This window comes from Homo sapiens, chromosome 19 (genome assembly GCF_000001405.40).
Source record: "Homo sapiens chromosome 19, GRCh38.p14 Primary Assembly".
Lineage (NCBI taxonomy): Eukaryota > Metazoa > Chordata > Mammalia > Primates > Hominidae > Homo > Homo sapiens.
In genome coordinates, this window is record NC_000019.10 from 53,458,642 (window position 1) to 53,483,502 (window position 24,861).

At 46.6% G+C, this 24,861-nt stretch overlaps 1 protein-coding gene and 2 pseudogenes across 1 annotated transcript in view, besides 5 other annotated features; 2 read left to right on the forward strand and 1 right to left on the reverse strand.

The window, feature by feature from the left end:
• VN1R102P (vomeronasal 1 receptor 102 pseudogene) lies at positions 4,327-4,512 on the reverse strand (annotated as a pseudogene).
• Positions 8,936-9,065: a silencer, noted in NCBI's record as "silent region_11011". NCBI's record gives its function as "represses an Ori minimal core promoter by ATAC-STARR-seq in GM12878 lymphoblastoid cells {active_cell/tissue: GM12878}" and the evidence as "EXISTENCE:reporter gene assay evidence [ECO:0000049][PMID:35858748]".
• ZNF813 (zinc finger protein 813) overlaps positions 9,092-24,861 on the forward strand; it is a 28,523-nt gene continuing 12,753 nt past the window's right edge. Inside the window, exon 1 of the mRNA NM_001004301.4 lies at positions 9,092-9,148. The gene's annotated coding sequence lies outside the window, so the exon portion shown is untranslated. The remainder of the gene's footprint in view (positions 9,149-24,861) is intronic.
• Positions 9,136-9,375: an enhancer, noted in NCBI's record as "active region_15067". NCBI's record gives its function as "activates an Ori minimal core promoter by ATAC-STARR-seq in GM12878 lymphoblastoid cells {active_cell/tissue: GM12878}" and the evidence as "EXISTENCE:reporter gene assay evidence [ECO:0000049][PMID:35858748]".
• Positions 9,136-9,873: a biological region, named in NCBI's record as "H3K27ac hESC enhancer GRCh37_chr19:53971207-53971768".
• Positions 9,312-9,873: an enhancer, noted in NCBI's record as "H3K27ac hESC enhancer chr19:53971207-53971768 (GRCh37/hg19 assembly coordinates)". NCBI's record gives its function as "activates a minimal SCP1, AML or CMV promoter by ChIP-STARR-seq in naive and primed H9 embryonic stem cells {active_cell/tissue: H9 hESC(naive and primed)}" and the evidence as "EXISTENCE:reporter gene assay evidence [ECO:0000049][PMID:30033119]".
• Positions 9,874-10,436: an enhancer, noted in NCBI's record as "H3K27ac hESC enhancer chr19:53971769-53972331 (GRCh37/hg19 assembly coordinates)". NCBI's record gives its function as "activates a minimal SCP1, AML or CMV promoter by ChIP-STARR-seq in naive and primed H9 embryonic stem cells {active_cell/tissue: H9 hESC(naive and primed)}" and the evidence as "EXISTENCE:reporter gene assay evidence [ECO:0000049][PMID:30033119]".
• Positions 20,641-21,724, forward strand: TPM3P6 (tropomyosin 3 pseudogene 6; annotated as a pseudogene).

Sequence of the window (24,861 nt, forward strand, 5' to 3'; positions counted from 1 at the left end):
TTTTAATGTCCTCTTGAATACAGTTTTCTAGTACAATGGATCTTGAAGAAGTTCATGGAAAAATACCTATTATGAGAAAATTTGCATGAATTTTAGTTTTTGCAACAAAACACTGGTACAAGTCTGTTATGTCTGAACAGGCTGTAGTTTAAGGCACTCAGAAGGATAAGACATGAGTTTGAAAAGAGACTCTATCAAAGCAATATAAATTCTGCTAAAATTGAAACAAGAAGAAACATCAAATTTACGATGAGATCAGATGCAGTGTCTCAGGTCTATAATCCCAGCACTTTCAGAGGCCATGACAGGTGGGTCACATGAGCCCAGGTATTCAAGACGAGCCTGGGCAACATGGTGAAACCCCCTTGTCTACAAAAAATACAAAAATTAGCTGGGCATGGTGGCATCTGACTGCAGGGCCAGCTACTGTGGAGTCTGTGGTGGAGGATGGCTTGAGCCTGGGAGGTCGAGGCTGCAGTGAGCTGTGGTCATGCCACTGCACTCCAGCGTGGGTGATGGAGTGAGATACTGTCTCAATAAAAGAATAATTATGGGCCGGGCGGCGTGGCTCAATCCTGTAATCCCAGCACTTTGGGAGGCTGAGGCGGGTGGATCATGAGGTCAGGAGATTGAGACCATCCTGGCTAACACGGTGAAATCCCGTCTCTACTAAAAATACAAAAAAAAAAAAAAATTAGCCGGGCATGCTGGAGGGTGCCTGTAGTCCCAGCTACTCAGGGAGGCTGAGGCAGGAGAACGGCATGAACCCGGGAGGCAGAACTTGCAGTGAGCCGAGATCATGCCACTGCACTCCAGCCTGGGGGACAGAGTGAGACTCCGTCTCAAAAAAACAACAACAGCAACAACAAAATTATGGTAAAGTTTGGGAAGAGGAATAATGGAATCATTGATACTTTATGAAAAGGTTATGGAGATGATGCCCAAAAGAAATAAACCATTTGTAAATGGATAACTCATTTCGAATTGGGACAAGACAGTGTTGAAGGTGATGCTAGGAGCGGCAGGCAGATCACATCAGTTTTTTGTTTTGTTTGTTTGTTTGCTTTGAGGCAGTGTCTCGATCTGTTGCCCAAAAGCTACGTAGAGGCCAGGCGCAATGGCTCATGACTGTAATCCCAGCACTTTGGGAGGTGGAGACAGGCAAATCACCTTAGGTCGGGAGTTCAAGACCAGCCTGACCAATATGGCGATACCCTGTCTCTACTAAAAATACAAAATGAGCCAGGTGTGGTGGCGCATGCCTGTAATCCCAGCTACTCGGGAGGCTGAGACAGCGAAGGGGACCTGCCCCTCCACATCTGTGGGTATTCCTCATCAGATGAGAGACTGAGAAAAGAAATAAGACACAGAGACAAAGTATAAAGAAAGAACAGTGGGCCCAGGAGACTGGCGCTCAACATGCGAGGACCCGCACTGGCGCTGGTCTGAGTTCCCTTAGTATTTATTGATCACTATTTTTACTATCTTGGCGAGGGGAGTGCGGCAGGGCAACGGGGTGACGGTAGGGAGAAGGTCAGCAGGGAAACAAGTGAGCAAAGGAATCTGTATCATGAATAAGTTCAAGGAAAGGTACTGTGGATGTGCACGTAGGCTAGATTTATGTTTCACTTTACACAAACATCTCAGTGTAGCAAAGAGTCACAGAGCAGTATTGCTGCCAGCATATCGCCTCCAGCCATAGGGCAGTTTTCTCCTATCTCAGAATAGAACGAATGGTCGGCTTTACACTGAGACATTCCATTCCCAGGGATGAGCAGGAGACAGAAGTCTTCCTCTTATCTCAACTGCAAAGAGGCCTCCCTCTTTCACTACTCCTCCTCAGCACAGACCCTTTACAGGTGTCAGGCTGGGGGATGGTAAGGCCTTTCCTTTCCCATGAGGCCATATCTCAGGCTGTCTCAGTTGGGGGAAACTTGGACAATACCCAGGCTTTCTAGGGCAGAGGTCCCTGCGGCTTTCCGCAGTGCATTGTGTCCCTGGTTAACAGAGAATGGAGAACAGCGATAACTTTTACCAAGCATACTGCCTGCAAACATATTAACAAGGCACACCCTGCACAGCCCTAAATCCATTAAACCTTGATTCAATACAACACATGTTTCTGTGAGCACAGGGTTGAGGCTATAGTTACAGATTAACAGCATCTCGAAGCAGAACAATTTTTCTTAGTACAGATCAAAGTGGAGTTTCTTATGTCTTCCTTTTCTGCATAGACACAGTAACAATCTGATCTCTCTCTCTTTTCCCCACAGAAAGGAGAATCACTTGAACCCAGGAGGAGGAGGTTGTGGTGAGCCGAGATTGCGCCATTGCCCTCCAGCCTGGGCAATAACAGTGAAAATCTGTCTCAAAAAGAAAAGAAAAGAAAAGAAAAAAAGATATATACTCCCCTAAGAAAAGAAAAAAAGCTATATACTCCCCTCACAAACTGGGGACCTCAAGATCTCCACCCTAAAATAGTTATTTTGAATTTCCCCCTGGCAATGTAAACCGAGAGCTTATCTGCACAGGTGTGGGACAGAACCAATCCCTCTGCACACCTGAGACAAATGCCTATCTGATTGCTTCCCCTGCCCTATTGTTTACATAAAAACGCAGGGTCACTGAGGCAGTCGAAGGCATAAGTGACTATTCCTCCTCCCGCTCTCACATATAAATTGTGTATTTAGTGAAAGGTTGATCAAAGACTCAAAGAATGTGATCATTTGTTATCTACCTGTGACCCGGAAGCCCCCCAATTCCAGTTATTCCACCTTTCCAGACTGAACCAATGCATATCTTACATGTATTGATTGATGTATTATGTCTCTGCAAAATGTGTAAAACCAAACTGCAGCCTGAACACCTTGGGCACACATTGTCAGGACCTCCTGAGGCTGTGTCACGGGGGCATTTTTAACCTTGGCAAAATAGATTTCTAAATTGACTGAGACCTAGTAGATACTTTTAGTTCACAAGCTCATGAACGCAGAAGAAATTGAGAGAATAAGAAAAAAGCTAGGTGTCATGGAAAGCACGAAATCAGTTCCAAAATCTGAACTCCTTCATATTTATTCAACATAGGGAAATGCTCTTCAACTTTGTGTGATTAGATTCCATTTGCGAATGATATATATTTCTAGTATTTGATTAAAATAACCCATTCTATGTAATTTTAGCCAACTTAAACTGCAAATAATAAATGATCAATTATATACATACATAAAACTTCCTAATATTTCACTTAGTATTGCTATTACTATGTTCTTGGGGCAGAAGCTCAGTCTGTCAGATACATTACGAGAGACTGGTGTCTCCATAATTGTGCTTAGGACTATGTTGCATGAATGGATAAACTGTTAAGCAGGAACCTAGGAGAGCTAGGGTGACAAAGTTCAAGTCCATTAAAACTAGCAAGACATATTCCTTACAGCTCATGCACGAGTCACCGTCATAAGATGTTTATGGTTAAGGAAAGCAGCTTATTGATACCTGCAAGGACAAATTTCTACAGAAACACAATGTCCAGATGACCCAATATCCCATGACAATGTATGCTTTTAAGATAGCAGGCTGGTCTCGGACTCCTGACCTCCGGTGATCCACCTGCCTCGGCCTTCCAAAGCGCTGTCAATACAGGCGTAAGCCATTGCGCCTGGCCAAGGATAGCTTTAAATCAACAAAGTAATAAGTTTTGTTACAGTGTCAGCCCACCCGCAGGTAGACATACCTTAGCTTTTACGTAGGCTTTGGCCGGGCGCGGTGGCTCACGCCTGTAATCCCAGCACTTTGGGAGGCCGAGGCAGGTGGATCACGAGGTCAGGAGATCGAGACAATCCTGGCTAACACGATGAAACCCCGTCTCTACTAAAAATACAAAAAATTAGCCGGGCGTAGTGGCGGGCGCCTGTAGTCCCAGCTACTTGGGAGGCAGAGGCAGGAGAATGGCGTGAACCCGGGAGGCGGAGCTTGCAGTGAGCCCAGATCGCGCCACTGCACTCCAGCCTGGGCAACAGAGCGAGACTCCATCTCAAAAAAAAAAAAAAAAAAAAAAAGCTTTTACGTAGGCCTCTATGTAAGAAAAACTTCAGGAGGAGGCGTTCCCCCTGCTTTCTGAGGACGCCCTACTGCGTAACTGGTAGCTTTCAATAAACTCTCTCGCCTCACTACACTCGGACCCTCGCCTTGAATTTTTTACTGCGCAAGATCCAAGAACTCTCACATGGGGTGTGGACTGTGACACCATTTTAGGCAACAAAACGACTGAACGTTATACAAAAACAGACAATTAATCCAATTCTCACAAAAGCAGGAATTTGGTAGTCCTCATCCAGCATGCCAAGCAAAGATCCACACTGTGGAGTCAGCGCTCACGAGAACAAAGGGGCTGACAGCTGGGAAACATGGGTGGATGAAGGGTGAGGCGCTCAGCAGCCGCCAACTGGGATTATTGGAAAGGGCAATAGGGTATTGAAAGGCGGAGGACACGGTCTAAAACGATACAAAAGCTGCAGAGCCACTGGGCCTGCGAGCTTCCCATGGGGAAGCCGGGACTCCCTGACAACTGCACAAACTCGCGTGGGGATTTCAACATCCCGAAGCACCCAGATTCCTTCTGGGCGGGTTCTGGACAGAGAGCGGGGACGGAACGGGAGGGGTAAAGGTCGCCGAGGGGGCCGGGCCAGAACAGGTGCTGGGTCGGGGAGAGAGGGTGGAGGCAGCTTTGGAAACCGGGCCTGGTTAGAGGGTGGGGGTGGGGCCTGGAATGGGAGTGGGCGGGGCAAGAGGGAGGAGGCTGCCTGGGGGCCGGGCTGGACAGCAGGAAAAGGCGGGACCCGAGGGTTAGCGTCATCTTGGGGGTGGGGTCTGGAAGGGGTTTTTTGTTCTGAAGGGCGGGGCCTGGAGGGGGCGGGTCCGGATTCTTTTCTCAGCTGGGCCGTGGATGTCGCCTGCTCTCATCCTCTTGCCCTCCAGGACTGGGTCCTCCGGGTTCTGATTGGTGGATTGTTTCTGATGTGCCATGATATTACCCCTAATATCACAGGGATGCTTCCTGCCCGTTGAAGTTACTATTTCGAACAATCGAAGGTAAAACAACATATTGTAGTGGGCCACCTGTACTGAACGTTGAATCGTTTTTCCTCTTAAGTTGAAAATAGTTTCAATGCAAAGAGCTTTTTTGGAGAAGGTAGAGTCGCGCGTCCTGCAGGCGGGGCAAGCTCCCCTCAGTCTGGGGCAGGGCGGTGGAGAGGGTCAGGGACCTCGGTAAAGGGGTGGAGTGGGGCGCTGGTTGCAGCGGGCACAGACAATTAGAACGGCTTATTAAACTAAGCAAGGTCCTGGGTTGGGTTGTTTGAGTGGATAATGGAAACTGAAGGGTGACAAGCAGAACTGCCTATTATACACAGGAGGTGAAGGACAATTTCATATTTCATGGAAATAAAGTCAGGGCCCGGAGCGGTGGTTCACACTTGTAATCCCAGCACTTTGAGTGGCCGAAGTGAGAGGATCGCTTGAGCCCAGGAGTTTGAGATCAGCCTGGGCAACATGATGAGACGTCGTCTCTAATAAAAATATAAAAAAATCAGCCAAGTGTGGTGGTGCGCGCCTGTGGTCCCAGCTGCTGGAGCGCTGAGGTGGGAGGATCGCTTGAGCCAGGGAGTTGGAGGCTGCAGTGAGCCCTGATCTCACCACCACACTCTAGCCTGGGTGTCAGAGCTAGACCCTGTCTCAAACAAACAAGCAAATAAATGAGAGGTGTAATTCCTCCTGTGAAAATAAAGAGATTTACTTTCCTTTCGTCTCTTTTCTTAGGAGACTTATTTAGAAAATTTGTAAATGGATTTTGTCTGTCTTCTGAGGTTTTTTGTTGTTTTGTTTTTGTTGTTTGTTTTTTAGATGGAGTTTTGCTTTTGTTGCTTAGGCTAGAGTGCAATTGCACGATCCCAGTTCACCGCAGCCTTCAACTTCCGGGTACAAGCCCGGTTTCGAACTCCTGACCTCAAGTGATTCGCCATCTTGGCCTCTGAAAGTGCTGGGATTACAGGTGTGAACCACCACACCTGGTCTGAAGTGGTATTTTTTAGAAACTAACTAAACCTTTTTTCAGCTTGATGACCCAGGGATGTATTTCTGAAGGACTTGGGAGCTCTCTTTGAAAGGCAAAATACAAGGGAGACAGTACCTGTATCTCAGTAGGAAATTAAATAATTCATACATCAAATAATTCCAATTTAAAGCTATGACCTTTAAATAATTATGAGCCTTTGAAGAGAGAGGCCATTTCTCTTACTGTCTCCTGTCTCTGAAGTAAAAGCTGAAAAACAACAGGAATGAAGTCAGTGGCAAGACCAGCTGGTGCCACTGATGACCAGGCCTGAGGTTAAAATATTAACCCCCAACTCTAACCACATGTGCTCTCAATCTATCATGACCCTTTCACGTGGAACCCCTTACAGTTGTAAGCCCTTAAAAGGACCAGGAACTCCTTCTTGGGGGAGCTCGGTTCTTGAGATGCCAGTCAGCCGATGCTCCCGGCCAAATAAAGCAACTTCCTTCTTTAACCCTGTGTGTGAGGGCTTTTGTCTGTGGCTCGTCCTGCTACACCTTGAGAGAAATGTGCTCATTCAGCTTGAGTCCAGTGGAATGCAGGCGTAACTTCTACGAGTTTTCCTTGCCACGTGTGGTGGCCCACACCTGTAATCTCACCACTTTGGGAGGTCGAGGTGGACAGATCACTTGAGGTCAAGAGTTTGAAACTAGCATGGCCAACATGGTGAAACCACCTCTCTACTAAAAATACAAAACAAAAGGCCAGGCGTGGTGGCTCACACCTGTAATCCCAGAAAATTGGAAGGCTTGGGCGGGTGGATCACAAGGTCAGGAGTTTGAGACCAGCCTGCCCTACATGGTGAAACCCCATCTCTACTAAAAATACAAAAGTTAGCTGGGCTCCTAGCTACTCGAGAGCCTGAGCCAGGAGAATCGCTTGAACCCGGGAGGCAGAGGTTGCAGTAAGCAGCTGAGATCGTGTCATTGCTCTCCAGCTTAGGCAACAGAGCGAGACTCTGTCTCAAACAAAAAAAAACAATGGTGGCATGCACCTGTAATCCCAGCTACTTGGGAGGCTGAGGCAAGAGAACTGCTTGAATCTGAGAGGTAGAGGTTGCAGTGAGCCGAGGTCGCCCCACTGCACTCCAGCCTATGCAAGTCTTCCTCTTATTTACAGGAAAAGTTTTCATGTAAATAATTAGAAAGACTAAGCAACCCCAGAGATAAGACCTCCTGAGATCATTGTCCCTTTTTATGGAGTGATAAAGTAACCTTCCTTGAAGTGTATCACTCTGTCACCAATCAACTTGCTGCAACCTATGCACTGGTCTTGAATGGAAAATGTGATTGTCCTAAAGCTTCTGTCTTTCCCTGTGTGTGAAACCTAAACGTCTCTACTATGGAACGCTGATCCCATTCATTTGGAGTTGATGTTTGCCAGTGGCTATCCTCATGCTTTGTGTTCAGATAAACTCTATATTTAATCATAAATTCTAAATTTTATTATTTACTGCTGACATCAGTTTCTGTCGGATTTTAGGAGCCTCACTACAGAGGGCACCTGTCGCCATGTTGTAAAACTCACACTTGTCAAAAAAACATGGGTTAGGGTTTCTTCCCCTCCTCGGCATGAAGCTACTTAGCTGACACAGATGGTTACCTCCATTACCAAGTAGAGCCAGGATGAACTATGTGTGACCAAGGGTGTTGTCAAGTCCTCTTCCCTGAGGACTGATTAGTGTTTATCTTGAAAACATGTACTTAATGGGTTGTATAGAACAGTGAAGTTTCTTTCTCTCTTTTCAACCTCTTAGCTGTTTGTCTATTTCGCATCATAATCTGGCCTAAGGCTTATTTATTAATGAAATGGTTTTAATTTCTTTCTCTATTGTCGTCGTGGAGATGATTTCTCATTGGGGGGAAGACTTTTTGTTTGTTTTCAATTATGTTTTCTCAACAATTGGAAAGTGAAGTAAAAAGTATTTGTTGGGCCAGGTGCAGTGGCTCACGCCTGTAATGCCAGCACTTTGGGAGGCCGAGGCAGGCGGATCACTTGAAGTCAAGAGTTTGAGACCAGCCTGGCCAACATGGTGAAACCCGTCTACAAAAATACAAAAATTAGCCAGGCATGGTGGCACGCGAATGTAATGGCAGGTACTCCGGAGGCTGAGGCAGGGGAATCGCTTGAACCCAAGAGGGAAGAGGCTGCAGTGAACCGAGATCCCGTTACTGCCCTCTAGCCTGGGCGACAGAGAAATACTCTGTCTCAAAAGAAATAAGTAAATAAATAAAGTAATAAATCTCTTCCACAAACGTGCTGAGACAACTAACTGAATATCCAGATGGAAAAGAATACTGTTGGATCCCTATCTCACACAATCAAAATTGTATTTTAAAACATTAAAAAAAAAAAAGGAAAAAAAGAGACGAGGAAGGAAGCGCTGCGGGAGGGGGTGTTACTTTGTCGCTCAGGCTGGCCTGGACCCCCAGGCTCAGCGATCCTCCCGCCGCTGCTTCCTGAGTAGCTGGGACCTCAGGCTCCTGCCCCCGCGCGCGCATCCCTCCCACCCCGGCGCCCCATCCAGCAGGTGGTCACCTCACTCCTCCCTGGCCTGAGCACTCCGTCCCGCATCCATGGCGGTGGCTTTAGGGAAATCTCTGAAGTTGAGCACGGGGTGGACTTGCCCTCCTGAGTGAATGGAGAATAGAAAGGGGGAGGATTTCTATTTTGTTTTGTGGGCCGTCAGCATGAAATCGTACCTTCCGCCCAGGCAGGGCTTTGCATTTCACATTCTAGTTTGCATCCCCGTTCCAGACAATTCCAGGGCTTTTGAATAGTGCCTCAACCTTACTGGCCGGTCTCGACTCCAAAACCCTAAAACAGGCGCTGGAGCGAGGGTGACGGACTCACAGGTCCCACCCCGGCCCCGCCCTCTGCGCCTTCCAAAGGGCAAAGTCTCTCCGCCTCTCGCCCCGCCCCTGCTTCGTCAGGCCCCGCCCACCTCCCAGGTCCCGCCCAGGCCTGGCTTCTGTCCTGCGCGCAGATTCGCGAAAACCCGGAAGCGGATCGCGTGGAGTGACGGTCCCACGGCAGCGCGTGAGTTTGGCTCTGTGTTGTATTAGGTCTGCACTTCCCAGGTCCCTGGCGCTTCTGTACCTGGGGCGTGGGGTCCCCACAAACCTGGAAATTCTCAGCCGTCTTCCTTCACCCAGAGCAAATTGAGACGACCCCGTGAGAGTCCGGGGGTCGCTTCCTTTTGTGTTTAAGGTCGCCCTGAGGCTGGTCCCGTCCCGGGTCTTTCTGCTATAGGGCAATGTATACACTTTCTATCGCGCATTTTTCCTGCTCTAAACCTTTCTCTGACTCCTCCCACCCCGCGCTTTTTGAAGTCCTCACCCAAGGGGTGGATTCTCGCCCACTTCGGCCGGTGGAGCGCAGAACCGCGGCCCCAGTCCCGGGAAGGCCGCGTCCTCTGTCTGGTCCCGGGATCCTGCAGACCCCACCCTTGTCTTAAGGCGCCCTCGCGCCCCCCCCCCCCCACCTCCCTCCTCCTGCCGGGCCCTGCTGCTTCCTAGGTCTCCCCTCCGCAGTCACGGCTTCCCCTGAGCCCACGTTGGGGAGGTGCCCGGGGCTTGTCCTGTTGAAGGAGGCCAGCCCTTCCACACCTGTGGGTATTTCTCGTCAGGTGGGAAGAGAGACTGAGAAAAGAAATAAGACACAAAGACAAAGTATAGAGAAAGGACAGTGGGCCCAGGGGACCGGCGCTCAGCATACGGAGGACCGGCACCAGTGCCAGCCTCTGAGTTCCCTCAGTATTTATTGATCATTATTTTTACTGTCCTAGTGAGGGGAGTGTAGCAGGGCAACAGGTGGGGAGAGGTCAGCAAGAAAACATGTGAGCAAAGGAATCTATATCATGAATAAGTTCAAGGAAAGGTACTGTGCCCAGATGTGCACGTAGGCTAGATTTATGTTTCTCTTCACCCAAACATCTCAGTGTAGCAAAGAGTCACAGAGCAGTATTGCTGCCAGCATATCTCGCCTCCAGCCACAGGGCGGTTTTCTCCTATCTCAGAATAGAACGAATGGAAATGGTCAGCTTTACACCTAGACATTCCATTCCCAGGGACCAGCAGGAGACAGAAGTCTTCCTCTTATCTCAACTGCAAAGAGGCCTTCCTCTTTCACTACTCCTCCTCAGCACAGACTCTTTACGGGTGTCCGGCTGGGGGATGTAAGGTCTTTCCTTTCCCACGAGGCCATATCTCAGGCTGTCTCAGTGGGGGGAAACTTGGACAATACCCAGGCTTTCTAGGGCAGAGGTCCCTGCGGCTTTCCGCAGTGCATTGTGTCCCTGGTTAACTGAGAATGGAGAATGGCGATGACTTTTACCAAGCATACTGCCTGCAAACATATTGTTAACAAGGCACACCCTGCACAGCCCTAAATCCATTAAACCTTGATTCAATACAGCACATGTTTCTGTGAGCACAGGGTTGGGGCTAAAGTTACGGATTAACAGCATCTCAAAGCAGAAACAATTTTTCTTAGTACAGATCAAAATGAAGTTTCTTATGTCTTCCTTTTCTGCATCCACAAAGTAACAGTCTGATTTCTCTTTCTTTTCCCCATATCCTGTGACATGGGGTGTTCTTCCCTGCCCAGCTCCAGCCCCTTGAAAATGCGCTCCCCTGGTATGTAGCCATCTTACTCCAAACCGTCATGTGATTCTGTGGGCTAAAGGGATCAGGAGACACACGCAGTAGAAAACCTGAGAAAGAAAAGAATGAGAAAGACTCATAACAGATGGCAAAGTAGAGAATGGGTGAGGGATTTGCCAAGAGACAACGAAAGTGAAAAAAATATATATAAGAAAGCAGGAGGAGAAAAGCAACTGGAGACATGCAGAGAAAAGCTAGATGTACAGAGAGATGAAGGACAGCAAGGTAGGGAGAGGGGCAGCAAAGAGGGAGGCTCATCAGGGTGAGGGAGAGGAGGAGGGATTTGGAGCCAGGGCAGACAGAGCAGAGTGGTGCTGGTGGCAAGAACAGAGGGAGAAGCACAGCAGGGAGGACACCTGGGGATCTAGGCTGCCAGAGAGTGGGGACAGGGGGTATAACAGGGAAGAGAGAATTTAACGGGGAGAGCAGAGGAGGCGCAGAGATGGTGTTGCGGGAAACTGAGGACTAGAGAGACTGCTATGGGGGAGACAGAAGGATGTTTACTTAAGGTACGCACCGGCTCAGTGGATTTACATCTAAAAAGCTGAGCATTTCAACAAAGAGTGGGGTTTTTATAAGCAGGCTTACAGAAGCAAAATAAAAGCAGTTAATCATGTAATGATTGGTCACATAATCTATAGCATAGCATAACTTGTGGCCTTGCATAGCTGGTGGTCTTGCAGCTGCATTGAAAGAAAAGCAAGAACAGCTAAATACATTTGTTTTCTTTCTTTCTTTCTTTCTTTTTCTTTTCTTTTCTTTCTTTCTTTCTTTCACTCTTGTTCTAAAGGGGAGGAGGTGTCTGGAGCCCATTCCTTTGGCTTCGACTTCGCAAACAGCGTTATGTTATAACTGTTCTCTAAGTGAGCTTGCTAGGCAGAGGAAAACTTGTTCTTCTCTTTTTAACCCTTGCCTTGCCTGTTACTTTTCTTGGAGTGAATGAATGCATATTTTTTTTTTAATTTCTGCCTGAGTTTTCTCCCTTTGCTTTTTATAAACAAGATTTTAATAGAAAGCATCACTATTACTTGATTATTCATGAAAAAGCAGGTTTTCTTCTTTAGGCACAGGCTGATATTTATATGGAGCTATTAGCTGAGTGGTAGTCTGCCTAGTGACAATTGCTTCTATAGTTGATTGAATGTTCCTTAACAAGGAGAGGTAAGAGGTAAGGGAGTATTAAACCAATTCTTAGTATTTCTAGAACCACTCCTGTTAAGGTTTTGAATCGACTGAAGGAGGAAAACCAGCCGCTAAAGAGGGACTCAGGAGTCTACTTTGTCTAAGTCTGGACTGGAACATGGGATAATTTTTTTATTCTTGCAGTTATTTCTATAACAGCCTTCCTATTGTCATTGATTTCTAGGCAGCAATTAGTTAGATTAAACTTTCTACATACTCCTCCTTCCTGGGCTAGGAGGTAGTCGAAAGCTAATCTATTTTGGTAGATGGCATTTCTCATTTTTGTGGCTTGCTGGGCCAGTAAGTCTAATGCATTTGCTGTTTCATTAGTGATGATTTCAAGTACTGCTTGCAACTTTATGATGCGGTTAAGCATGTAAATTGGGGTGCGGTACCTTTATGACTTATTTTGTGCCCAGGTAGCTGGCCTAGAGTACTGAATTAGTCTTTCAGGGGGCCAATCTGTGTCTTTCTAGTCTTCTATTTTTATGTCTTTTCTTATGTCTATATCTCTTTTGTTTTTTTCTTTAATTTTATTGTAGACAGGATACCTTCAAGTTTCTCCCTGTTGCAGTGGGAGTGAGAAGAAACATGGTCTAATTGTTTCAAGTACACAAGCCCTTGTCCTTTTTCCTGGCAACTGTCGGTAGGCCCTTGGTGCACAGATCTAATAGAGACCAGAGGGTGCTTGCCAGGTATTTGGAGCTTCAAGCTGATACTATGTGTGGTTTAGAGAAGAGAAACAGGAGAATGGGTTTGGATGAGGTGATCTGGAGTCATCTTTGCCTTGCCACAAAGTTTTCTTTAGTGTTTTATTATAATATTCCTGTCTTAAACAAGTTAATTCTTCTAGGGAGTCTGTAAAAGCTTTTCCTTAGTGAGCAACACAGTATCTCCTGATAATGGAAGTTTTTAAGAGCTAGGGGCTTAAGGCTGGGTGCGGTGGCTCACACCTGTAATCCCAGCACTTTGGGAGGCTGATGCGGGTGGATCACAAGGTCAGGAGATCAAGACCATCCTGGCTAACACGGTGAAACCCCGTCTGTACTAAAAATACAAAAAGCAATTAGCCAGTCTTGGTGGCGGGCACCTGTAGTCCCAGCTACTCGGGAGGCTGAGGCAGGAGAATGGCGTGAACTTGGGAGGCGGAGCTTGCAGTGAGCCGAGATCACGCCACTGCACTCCAGCCTGCGTGACAGAGTGAGACTGTCTCAAAAAAAAAAAAAAAAAGTGCTAGGTGCATCGGTTCGGGGGAAGAGTCAGTTAGAGTTAAATTATCTTGTGACATTAACTCTTTTGCTTCTTAAGGCCATTGGTCTCCTATGTTAGTCCTTCTACAAACATAACATGAGAAAATGCTTAAGCTGCTAGCAATGTTTTCAGCTAGCCGAGCAAACAGGTTTTTAGCTAAAGGATGATGCTCTCGTAACTTCTAGTCTGCATGCTTATGGAATGATTTAAAAACTCGGAATTGTTGCTGGTCCGGGTTCCTTTTTGATAACATATAGGTAGGTTTCTGGGTAGGTGTGTGTGGAGACATGTATGGGGTAACCTGCAGTCCACACGGGTAGGTCTGGCTTTAGAATGGTGAAATTTACTGGATGACAGGTTTTTGTTTCACAGTCTGGTTTTACTGGCATTTCGATAAGCATAATTGGCCTTTGTTGTGTGCTGGGGTGCCACGATATGCAATACTGAGAATCTTTTTCTGGGTCCCAGGGGACAAGGTGGCATGCATACATATTTGTAGTCATTTCTATAGTATCTTTATACAGGTAGGTTACCACAGACGGATGAGTCTAGGTCTGCTGCTGGACAAGCATCAAAATACAGAGAAATAGGCCATCGGTAAAAGGGAGGGACCTTGGTTTGGTTTAAGAGGGAACTTTCTTTTGACCTTGCATGTATTTTAAACTATTCACCAGGTGAAAACTTTGTGTTATAACATACATAAGGTTGGTTATTTCCTGGGTCACAAATTGAGTAGATGGTCTGATTATAAGTACAAGTCTTTCTTTTTTTTTTTTTTTTTTGAGATGGAGTTTCACTCTTGTTGCCCAGGCTGGAGTGCAATGACATGATCATGGCTCACCACAACCTCCACCTTCTGGGTTCAAGCAATTCTCCTGCCCCATCCTCCTGAATAGCTGTGATTACAGGCATGTACCACCATGCCTGGTTAATTTTGTATTTTTATTCAAGACGGGGTTGTTCCATGTTGGTGTGGCTGGTCTCGAACTCCCGACCTCAGGTGATCCACCTGCCTCGGCCTCCCAGAGTGCTGGAATTACAGGCATGAGTGACCACACCTGGCCTTTATAAGTACAAGTTCTTAAGCGAGTCCTTGTACACTCATAATAAGTATGGTGCAGTAGAGTCTTAGTTATCCTGTTCCCTGACCAGGTAGGTAGTATGTGTACAGTGGGGACACATTTCTATAGTTGCTTTTTCTACCATGGTTAAGGAGGGTAGCAACAGCAAAACAGTGTACAGCATGTTCATATCCAGCAAGGACAGAAGAGGGCCTTGCCTGGCAGAGGAGGTTGAGCACAACGACAGAACAATAATAAAACAGTTAGTATTACAAGGAAAACTACTAGTCTTAAGATTTCTAACCACATTTACTTGCTTGATGAGTCCTCAAGCTTCAGCTGTGCGTAGACTAGTCAGCTTCTGGTGTGTGACTAGAGCAGGGCTTGTCCCCTCCAGCTTCAGCTGTGCATAGGCTAGTCAGCTTCCGGTGTGTGACTAGAGCTGGGCTTGTCGTCCCCTCCAGCTTCAGCTGTGCATAGACTGGTCAGCCTCCAGAGTGACCAGAGCAGGGCTGTCGTCCTCAGCAGCAGCTTGGTCTCATCTCAGGATCAGCTGAGTTGGATGGTCTGGGTCTTGCTGGCTGGTCCACTTGCCCTGAGCTGCCAGTTTCAGCTGACTGTGGTGGATCTACGGCATGATTCCTGCAAATTTAATAGCAGTGGGAGTGGACAAGATTACAATATAGGGCCCATTCTATATGGGTCTTAGAGAAGTTGGATTCTACTTTTTAACCTAAACAGAGTCTCCAGGTTTAAGCGGTGTACTGGATCTGTCAGACTTATCGGCATTCTTTCTCATATTCAGTTATGGGCTTCTTGCATGGCTATTATTAAAGCCTGCATTTGTTTTCTTAAAGTTAATTCCTCTAGTTCTTGGAGATCACTTTTAATTTGACTTATGATTGGAGAGGCCGACTGAACGAACTCTCATAAGGTGAATACCTAGTTTATTTGGTGGGGGTGCACCTGACTCAGAGGACAACCATATGAAAGACCTGATCTTATCTCAGGTGAGTTTCTTGGCAGTATTTCTTCAGTAGCTGCTTAACGTCTGGTTCATGTATTTTACTTTTCTTGAACTTTCCGGCCAATAGGCTATGTGTAACTTCTATTTTATTTTTAGCAGTCTTGTTAAATCTTGCACTATTTCAGCTGCAAATGCTGGCCCATTGTCTGACTTTAGAGATAGAGGCAGTCCAAACCTGGGAAGAAGTCTTCAGTCACTTCTCATGCTTTTTCTGTCCTGGTGGGGAAAGCTTTAACCTATCTTGAAAAAGGTACAAATAAGCACTAGCATATACCGACATCCTCTGTCGGATGCACGGAGCAGTTCGGTAAAGTTTATAACCAAGTTTTCACAAGGCATGGCTCCTGCTTCTTGAATTCTTGGGGGCCAAGTGGGCCCCCATAACGGTTATTCTGAGCACAGGTTAAACATTGTTTACAAATGGCTCAAATGACAGCAGAGAGCCACAGCACATAGAAATGGCACTTTCGTGGCCGGGCGCGGTGGCTCATGCCTGTAATCCTACCACTTTGGGAGGCCAAGGTGGGCAGATCATGAGGTCCGGAGTTCAAGACCAGTATGAGCAACATGGTGACGTCCAGTCTCTACTGAAAAAACAAAAGAAGTAGCCAGTCATGATGGCAGGTGCCTGTAATACCAGCTACTGGGGAGGCTGAGGCAGAAGAAACACTTGAACCCGGGAAGCAGAGGTTGCAGTGAGCCAAGATTGCACCACTGCACTCCAGCCTGGGTGACAGAGCGAGACTCAATCTCAAAAAAAAAACCAGAAATGGCACTTTCATAACGTTGCTAATGCTGTTTTTCTTATATGAGTTTCTTGATGAGTTTGCTTCACAAACTTAGGAGCTAACATCTTTGGAATGGCTAGTCTCCTATCAAAGAACTTCTACTACCTTCTTTTAATATATTTTTTATCTTCTTGGGCAAACCAGGATCTTTGATTTGGAGTATAACTTGGGTTGTCTTGGAGAGGAGGTTCTGGGAGGAGAGGCATAGCTAAGGCTTCCTCTTTAAAATGCAGCGTGATCATTGCTGCCTGCTTTGCCTCTCTGCCTTTCTGTTTCCTGTGGCTTCTGGCATCCTTGCCATTTGGTGCCCTCTGCAGTGCATTATAGCTACTTTCTCTGGAGCCTATACTGCCTCTAAGAGCTGTAGAATCTCTTCTTTGTACTTTATTTCTTGCCTCTAGCTGATAAAAGTCCTCTCTCTTTATATATAGTTCCATGTACATGCAAGGTAGTAAAAGCATACTTAGAATTAGTGTAAATACTGACTTCTCTTTTGCTAGCAACAGTGCTCTTGTCAGGGCTATTAATTCTGCCTTTTGAGCTGATGTTCCGGTAGGCAGAGGCTGAGCCTCTACTACTGAGTCTGATGTTACCACTGCATACCCGGCATGTCCAAACTCTTCTAGCACAGAACTACTTCCACCTGTGAAGTACTTGACATCTGGGTCTCTGAGGGGTCTGTCTGTAAGATCTTTCTCATTGGGGAATACCTCGTCTACTGTTTTGACACAGTTATGGAGAGGAGCTGCCTGTTCGACTGGGAGCAGAATAGCCGGGTTAGGGTGTTTACTGTTCTAAAATTGTGTAAGGGTTTTCACATAGAAGCCCTTGGTACTGAGTCATCCTCAGGTTTGATAACTAATGGTGCCTTCTTTGATCCATCAAAGTTATGACTCAGTGTGGCACCCAGACGGTTAGTTGCTGTCCTAGAGTTAATTTGCTAGCTTCCTGTGTTAACAAGATGGTGGCAGCTAATGCCTTAAGGCAAAGAGGCCATCTTAACACCACGGAGTCTGGTTGTTTGGATAAATGTGCCACTGGGCGATGCCACGATCCTATAAGTTGAGTCAGAGCCCCTATAGTCATTGTTTTTTTGTTCATGAACATATAGAAAGACTTAGTTATGTCTCATAGTCTTAAGGCTGGGACCTGAGTTAAAGCTTCCTTGACCTGCTTGAAGTCTATTTCTTGATTAGGTTTTCAAAGGAGGGGCTCCTTTTCTCCTCTTTTTGTGGCTTCCTATTAACGACTTAGCCATCAGTGAACAATTTGGAATCCGGAATCTTGCTGCCTCTAAAAATTCCTATTTGACGTTGGGTGGCCGGGGTTGGAAGGGCACAAATGGCTTGCTTCCACTCATAGCCAAGCCAGTGTTCCTTGTGGCTCACTATGACACCTAGATATATGGAACCTCTTCAAGGCAAATTTGGGCTTGCTTTTTTGATATTTTGTAACTTATTTTCTATAGGAAATGGAAGAGATCCTGGGTTCCCCGATAACAGTCCTCTTAGATTGGGGCCGGCAAAAGAAGCTCATCTGCATACTGCAACAAGGTGCAGTTGCTATTTGGCAGGGTATAAGCCATGAGGTCTGAAGCCAATGTTTCTCTAAAGATTGTGGGAGAGAACCGGGCATGGTGGCTCGCGCCTGTAATCCCGGCACTTCAGGTGGTTGGGGTGGCTGGATCACGAGGTCAGGAGTCCAAGACCAGACCGGCCAAGATGGTGAAACCCGGTCTCTACTAAAAATACAAAAACTGGCCACATGCGGTGGCTGGCACCTGTAATCCTAGCTACTCTGGAGGCTAAGGCAGGAGAATTGCTTGAACCCGGGGGGCAGAGGTTGCAGTGAGCTGAGATGGCACCACTGCACTCCAGCCTGGGCAACAGAGCAAGACTCCATCTCAAAAAAAAAAAAAAAGATTGTGGGAGAGTTTTTTTGTTTGTTTGAGACGGAGTCTCACTCTGTCGCCGACGCTTAAGTGCAGTGGTGCGATCTTGGCTCACTGCAAGCTCCGCCTCCTCCCGCCTCCTGGGTTCACACCATTCTCCTGCCTCAGCCTTCTGAGTAGCTGGGACTACAGGGGCCCGCCACCACGCCTGGCTAATTTTTGTATTTTAAGTAGAGACGGGGTTTCACCTTGTTAACCAGGATGGTCTCGATCTCCTGACCTCGTGATCCACCCGCCTTGGCCTCCCAAAGTGCTGGGATTACAGGCATAAGCCACCGCGCCTGGCTGTGGGAGAGTTTTTAAACCTTTGTGGGAGTCTAGTCCAGGTGAACTGTGACGCTTCATTGTCTTATGAAATGCAAAGATAGGCTGACTAACTGGTGCCAGACAGATATAAAAGAAAGCATCCTTTAAGTTTAAGACTGTAAACTAGGTAGCACTTGCTGGAGTCCTATCACAGTGTACGGGTTGGGTACCACTGGATGGATAGTTACCGTGGCCTGGTTTACAACATGCAAATCTTGCACCAGCCTATATTCATTAGACCCTGGCCCTGGCAATGGCTTCTGAACTGTCAAAAGTGGAGTGTTCTAAGGCGACTAGCATTGGACTAAAATCTTATGTTTATAGAGCCTTTCTGAACGCTTGCAGATGCCCTGTATGGATTTTTGGGGAACTGGGTACTGACGAACCTGAAACAGGAGTTGCTCCTGGTTTTGATTCTGCTACTACTGGCGCATGATTTACAGCTAACCCACGTGGGTTGTCCTCAGCCTGTACTCCAGGAATGTCTTTAACTAACTGGAATAATAATTTTTCTTCTACTTGAGTGTGAGGTTGCATTGGTGCCTGAAAAAGGGGTTGGGCACAGTGGCTCACTCCTGTAATCCCACCATTTTTGGAGCCTGGGGCAAGGGGATTGCTTGAGTCCAGGTATATGAGACCAGCCTGGGCAACATAGTAAGACCCCCATCTCTGCCAAAATAAATAAATAAAATTAACCAGATGTGATGGTGCACACCTGTACTCCCAGCTACTCTGGAGGCCGAGGCAGGAGGATCACTTGATCCCAGGAGGTCCAGGCTGCAGTGAGCCGAGATCATGCCACTGCCCTCCAGCCTGGTCAACAGAGTGAGACCCTGTCTCAAAAGAATAAAAGGGGTGGGGGACTTTGTGTTCAGATGAGTGGGTGAGTTCACTGGGTATGATTACTTGTGACATGTTGACTTCTGTGTATATAATCTAATAACTTAAAATTTGTTTAAATTATACAGATGAGATTGAGAACTTAAAAATTCCTATCTATAAGGCATGTACATTGTATAAATCTTGGCATAGAGGTCAGCTTCCACTTGGAATCCCTATTCAGCCAGAGAGCAGTGACTTATTCAGTTGTGAATCACTCTATTCCCTTTTCGCAGGGCTGGGGTAGGAAGTAGGGCAATGAAGTGGGAAAAAAATGACTTTCTGTTATTACATAATACTTTTAATTAAATTAATTAATAATTAATATTTTGGGACAGGGCCTGGCTCTATCACCCAGGATGGAGTGCAGCATGATCTCTTCTAACTGCAGCCTCGACCTCCTGGGCTTAAGCGATCCTCCTACCTCAGCTTCCTGTGTAGCTGGGACCACAGGCGTGAGCCACCAAGTCGGACAAGTATTGTATTTTTTTTTTGTAGAAACGGGTTTCGCTATGTTTCCCAGGCTGGTCTCAAAATCCTGAGCTCAAAGGATCTTTCTGCCTTGGCCTTCCGAAATACTGGGATTACAGGGATGAGCCACCGCACCTAGCCTACATAGTACTTTTTAAAGGGGACATCAAAACGTGGTGGCTCCTGCCAGTAAGCCCAGCACTTTGGGAGATGGAGGTGAGTGGGTCACCTAAGGTGAGGAGTTCAAGACCAGCCTGGCCAACATGGTGAAACCTGGTCTCTACTAAAAATACAAAAGTTAGGCAGGCGTGGTGGTGTGCACCTGTAGTCACAGTTACTGGGAAGGCCAAGGCACAAGAATCGCTTAAACCTGGGAGGTAGAGGTTGCAATGAGCCGAAATTGTGCCAGTGCACTGCAGTCTGGGTGGCAGAGCGAGTCTCCATCTCACAAAAACAAGCAAGCAAACAAAAAATAAAATAAAAAACAAAAGGGACATCAAAAGTACATTTGTTCTTATGTGTAATAGATTTACTTTATTTTCTTTGTTTCCTCTTCATTGCTTTTTTTTTTTTTCAGTTTGAGATAAATTGTAGGTTTTTGTTTTTTGTTTTTTGTGTTTTTTTGGCAGAATCTTATGCAGTGACCCAGGCTGGAGTGTAGTGGCATGATGTCAGTTCACTGCAACCTCTGCCTCCTGGGTTCAAGTGATTCTTTTGCCTCAACCTCCCGAGTACGTGGGACTACAGGCCCACGCCACCACACCAGGCCAATTTTTGTACTTTTAGCAGATATGGGGTTTCACCATGTTGGCCAGGCTGGCCTTGAACTCCTGACCTCAGGTGATCCACTTGCTTCGGCCCCCCAAAGTGCTGGGATTACAGGTGTGAGCAACCACGCCCAGCTGAGATAAATCTTAGTTTTCAAAATTTCTCTTTTAATACATAATCATGGAGAGGAGGCTGCAATGCCGAATGGAGGAGGCAGGAACCGGAGTGTGAGCAGTAGCTGGGTGGGCACCATGGCTGGGATCACCACCATCGAGGCAGTGAAGCGCAAGATCCAGGTTCTGCAGCTGCAGGCAGATGATGAGGAGTGAGCTGAGCACCTCCAGTGAGAAGCTGAGAGAGAAAGGTGGGCCCGGGAACAGGCTGAGGCTGAAGTGGCCTCCGTGAACGGTAGGATCCAGCTGGTTGAAGAGGAGCTGGACTGTGCTCAGGAGCGCCTGGCCACTGCCCTGCAAAAGCTGGAAGAAGCGGGAAAAGCTGCTGATGAGAGTGAGAGAGATACAAAGGTTATTGAAATCTGGGCCTTAAAAGATGAAGAAGATGGAACTCCAGGAAATCCAACTCAAAGAAGCTAAGCACATTGCAGATGAGGCAGATGGGAAGTATGAAGAGGTGGCTCGTAAGTTGGTGATCATTGAAAGAGACATGGAATGCACAGAAGAATGAGCTGAGCTGGCAGAGTCCCGTTGCTGAGAGATGGATGAGCAGATCAGACTGATGGACCAGAACCTGAAGTGTCTGAGTGCAGCTGAAGAAAAGTACCCTCAAAAAGAAGACAAATGTGAGGAAGAGATGAAGATTCTTACTGATAATCTCGAGGAGGCAGAGACCCATGCTGAGTTGGCTGAGAGATCAGTAGCCAAGCTGGAAAAGACAATTGATGACTTGGAAGATAAACTGAAATGCACCAAAGAGGAACACCTCTGTACACAAAGGATGCTGGACCAGACTCTGCTTGACCTGAATGAGATGTAGAATGCCCCAGTCCCACCCTGCTGCTGCTCCTTCCTCTGACCCTGACTCCGCCTGAGGCCAGCCTGCCCGAAGCTGACCTTTACCTGAGGGCTGATCTTCAATTGGAAGGCTGCTTTCTCCTCTCACCACCCCCTCCTCCCCTGCCTCTTTTTCACCAAACTGTCTCTGCCTCTTCCTGGAGATTCCAGCTGGGCTAGAGGCTGAGAACCTTTGCAAACAACATTTAAGGGAATGTGAGCCCAATGCATGTCTTTAAAAAGCATGTTGTGATGTAAAAAAAAAAAAAAAAACATAATTACTTCTGGAAGATGCCTTTGTCACATCCTATAATCAGCTCACATCATTTTTTTTCTGTACATTTCCCAGTTATTTACCTGTTGACCCCAGAATTTGTTAGATTTTTGAAAGACAATTTCTAAATAGTTTCTGTTTGAAACTAGTTGCATCTGGTTCAGATCAAGGTCTGCATGCTTTCTAGTCTTTATTATTTATTGAAAACCTTTAGTACCGAATACAGAAGTTTGATTATTTCAGTGCCTACCTGGTAAAGATGTCAGTGACCTTTTACCTTAACATCAAAATGTAGTTTAACCAGTTAGTGTATTTTTCAGTTTTCTTTCCTTATGTCATCTGTGGACATCTTGAGCTGTGAGCTATTAAGTGCATGTTTCCCTCAAGGCCCTCTGGTCCATTCTGGACTAATGTTGAAAGATGGGTTGGATTGGCATGGAACTTTTGGGGTGGCCAGACCCAACACCAGGCCATGGGGGCTACGAACTCTGGCGGAGTCAAAGGAATGAGAAAAGACAAGTTAAGAATGCATAAGGTGGGTCCAGGGGGCCAATGCTAGTATGGAGGCTGCAAAAGACCCAAGCTCTGGAAGCCCACACTATTTATTGGTGATCAAACAAAGAAGCAGGTGGTGAGGATGTGGGGGTTGGTAGGAAGTGGTGCATCAAGCACATGATCTATAGATGTGTCAGTTTAGCATTTATATGGAACATGTTCTGCGACTTGAGATCATGGGGAACTTGAGATCATGTTCTTCTAGTTTAAGATACAATCATTTTATGAGCCTGGGAGTGCTAGAAGCAAGGAAGCAGCAAGTCTGGGCACATTCCAGAGGCCACGAGGGGTTTTAGGCCCTGGACCCTGGCATGTTCCAAGACTCTTTTTATATTATGTCAGACTAGCAAGCCCTGCCTCAGCTTTTCCCCAACATGGAATGCTATTCTAAAAGCACCCATGTATTCTTTTTTTTTTTTTTTTTTTGAGATGGAGTTTCACTCTTGTTGCTCAGGCTAGAGTGCAATGGTGTGATCTAGGCTCACTACAACCTCTGCCTCCTGGGTTCAAGTGATTCTCCTGCCTCAGCCTCCCAAGTTGCTGGGACAACAGGCACCCAGCCACCATGCCCAGCTAAATTTTTGGATTTTTAGTAGAGATGGGGTTTCATCATGTTGACCAGGCTCGTCTCAAACTCCTGACCTCAGGTGATCTACCCACCTCAACCTCCCAAAGTGCTGAGATTACAGGCATGATCCATTGAACCTGGCCACCCATGTATTCTTGATTGAAAAACTTTGCTTATGTCTTAGTTCTACAGCTGACCCTCTTTCACTGTTTTCAAGGTCAATAGCTGTGTGTTCACACTTCTGTGTTTTATAAATGTTACTGTGATTTTCTTGTAAGGAAAAATTAAAATTTGGGAATCAATGGCATCAGAACCTTGCAAATGAAGTTTCTTTAGCCCAGGCATATGAAAGATGCTTCTCTAATTTTCAAGGATAGGGGTGATGAAGACCAACCCTTCCCATTAGCATTTCCAGGCCCCAATGTAAGAAGAATTCAGGCACACATTTTCACTCATCTCAGACATTCTCAGGGTAGCTTGGTGAAAATTTCTCTTTCTCTGAGCCCCAGTGAGCCTCCCTGCAACTAGGAGATGAGGGGCTAGACCAGAAAAGCTCAACCTGAATGACCCTGGTCCCTGAAATGATTGGCAAAATAGAGTACGTGTCTGGGTATGGCTTTTCTCATGGGAGAGGGGAGTGCCCAGTTGTAATTAGAATTTTAAATGGGATGCAGTACCCCAAAAATAAAAAAGAATAAAAAAATGCAAAAGAATGGAAGAAACAGAGTTGTAGACTCAGACACAGAGACCATCTTCGAGGCCTTTCTCTGTATGAGGACATCACAGCAAAATCTAAAGCAGGTCACGTCAGTCCCTGGCAGGGAACCCTCCACCAGCTTCCCGTGTTCCCCAGGACAAAAGGCCAACTCCTCACTGTGGCTCCACAGCCCTGTGACCAGGGCCCCTGCCAGTGTCCAGCCTCCTCCTGGGAGCTTGCCCTCATCTTATGACTCCCTCTGCCCCAGTCACATTTGCTTTTCTCTTTTCCCAAACATCAAAACCCTTCCTGTCTCTGGTCATTGTCCCTCCTCTTACTCTATGTCCCTAAATGATCACGGCACTGTCCCTTTCTCCTCCTTCAGGTCTAGGCTCAGAGCTGTCTCCCATGCCCTCCCACCCCCATCTGATGTTCCCTCTGCCCGTCAGTCTCTATCACGTTACTCAGGTTCTATTATCTCTGCATCAATCACATCAGGAATGCTTTTTGTTTTTTTTTTTTTTTTTTTTTTTTTTTGAGAGACAGAATCTCACTCTATTGCCCAGGCTGTGAGTGCAGTCTTGTGATCTTGGCTCACTGCAACCTCTGTTTCCTGGGTTCAAGTGATTCTTGTGCCTCAGCCTCCCAAGTAGCTGAGAGTACAGGTGTGTGCCACCACACCCAGCTAATTATTGTATTTTTATTTTTATTTTATTTTATTTTATTTTATTTTTGAGTCTCACATTGTCACCCAGGCTGGAGTGCAGTGGCACGATCTTGGCTCACTGCAACTGCCACCTCCTGGGTACAAGTGATTCTCCTGCCTCAGCCTCCTGAGTAGCTGGGATTACAGACACCCACCAAGCCCAGTTGCTTTTTATATTTTTAGTAGACATGGGGTTTCACCATGTTGGCCAGGCTGGTCTCTGACTTCTGACCTCAAGTAATGCACCCTCCTTGGCCTTCCAGAGTGCTAGTATTACAGGCACGAGCCACCGTGCCCGGCTCAATTTTTGTATTTTTAGTAGAGACAGGGTTTCACCATGTTGGCCAGGCTGGTCTTGAACTCCTGAGCTCAAGCGATCCTCACACCTCAGCCTCCTAAGTAACTGGGACCACAGACACACAGATGTGCACAACCATGCCTGGCTAAGTTTTTGTATTTTTGGTAGAGATGGGGTTTCACCATGTTGCCCAGGCTGGTCTCAAACCTGAGCTCAAGAGATCTACGCACCTCGGCCTCCCAGAGTGCTGGGATGACAGGCATGAGCCACCGCACCCAGCCTTTGCATGAGGTTTG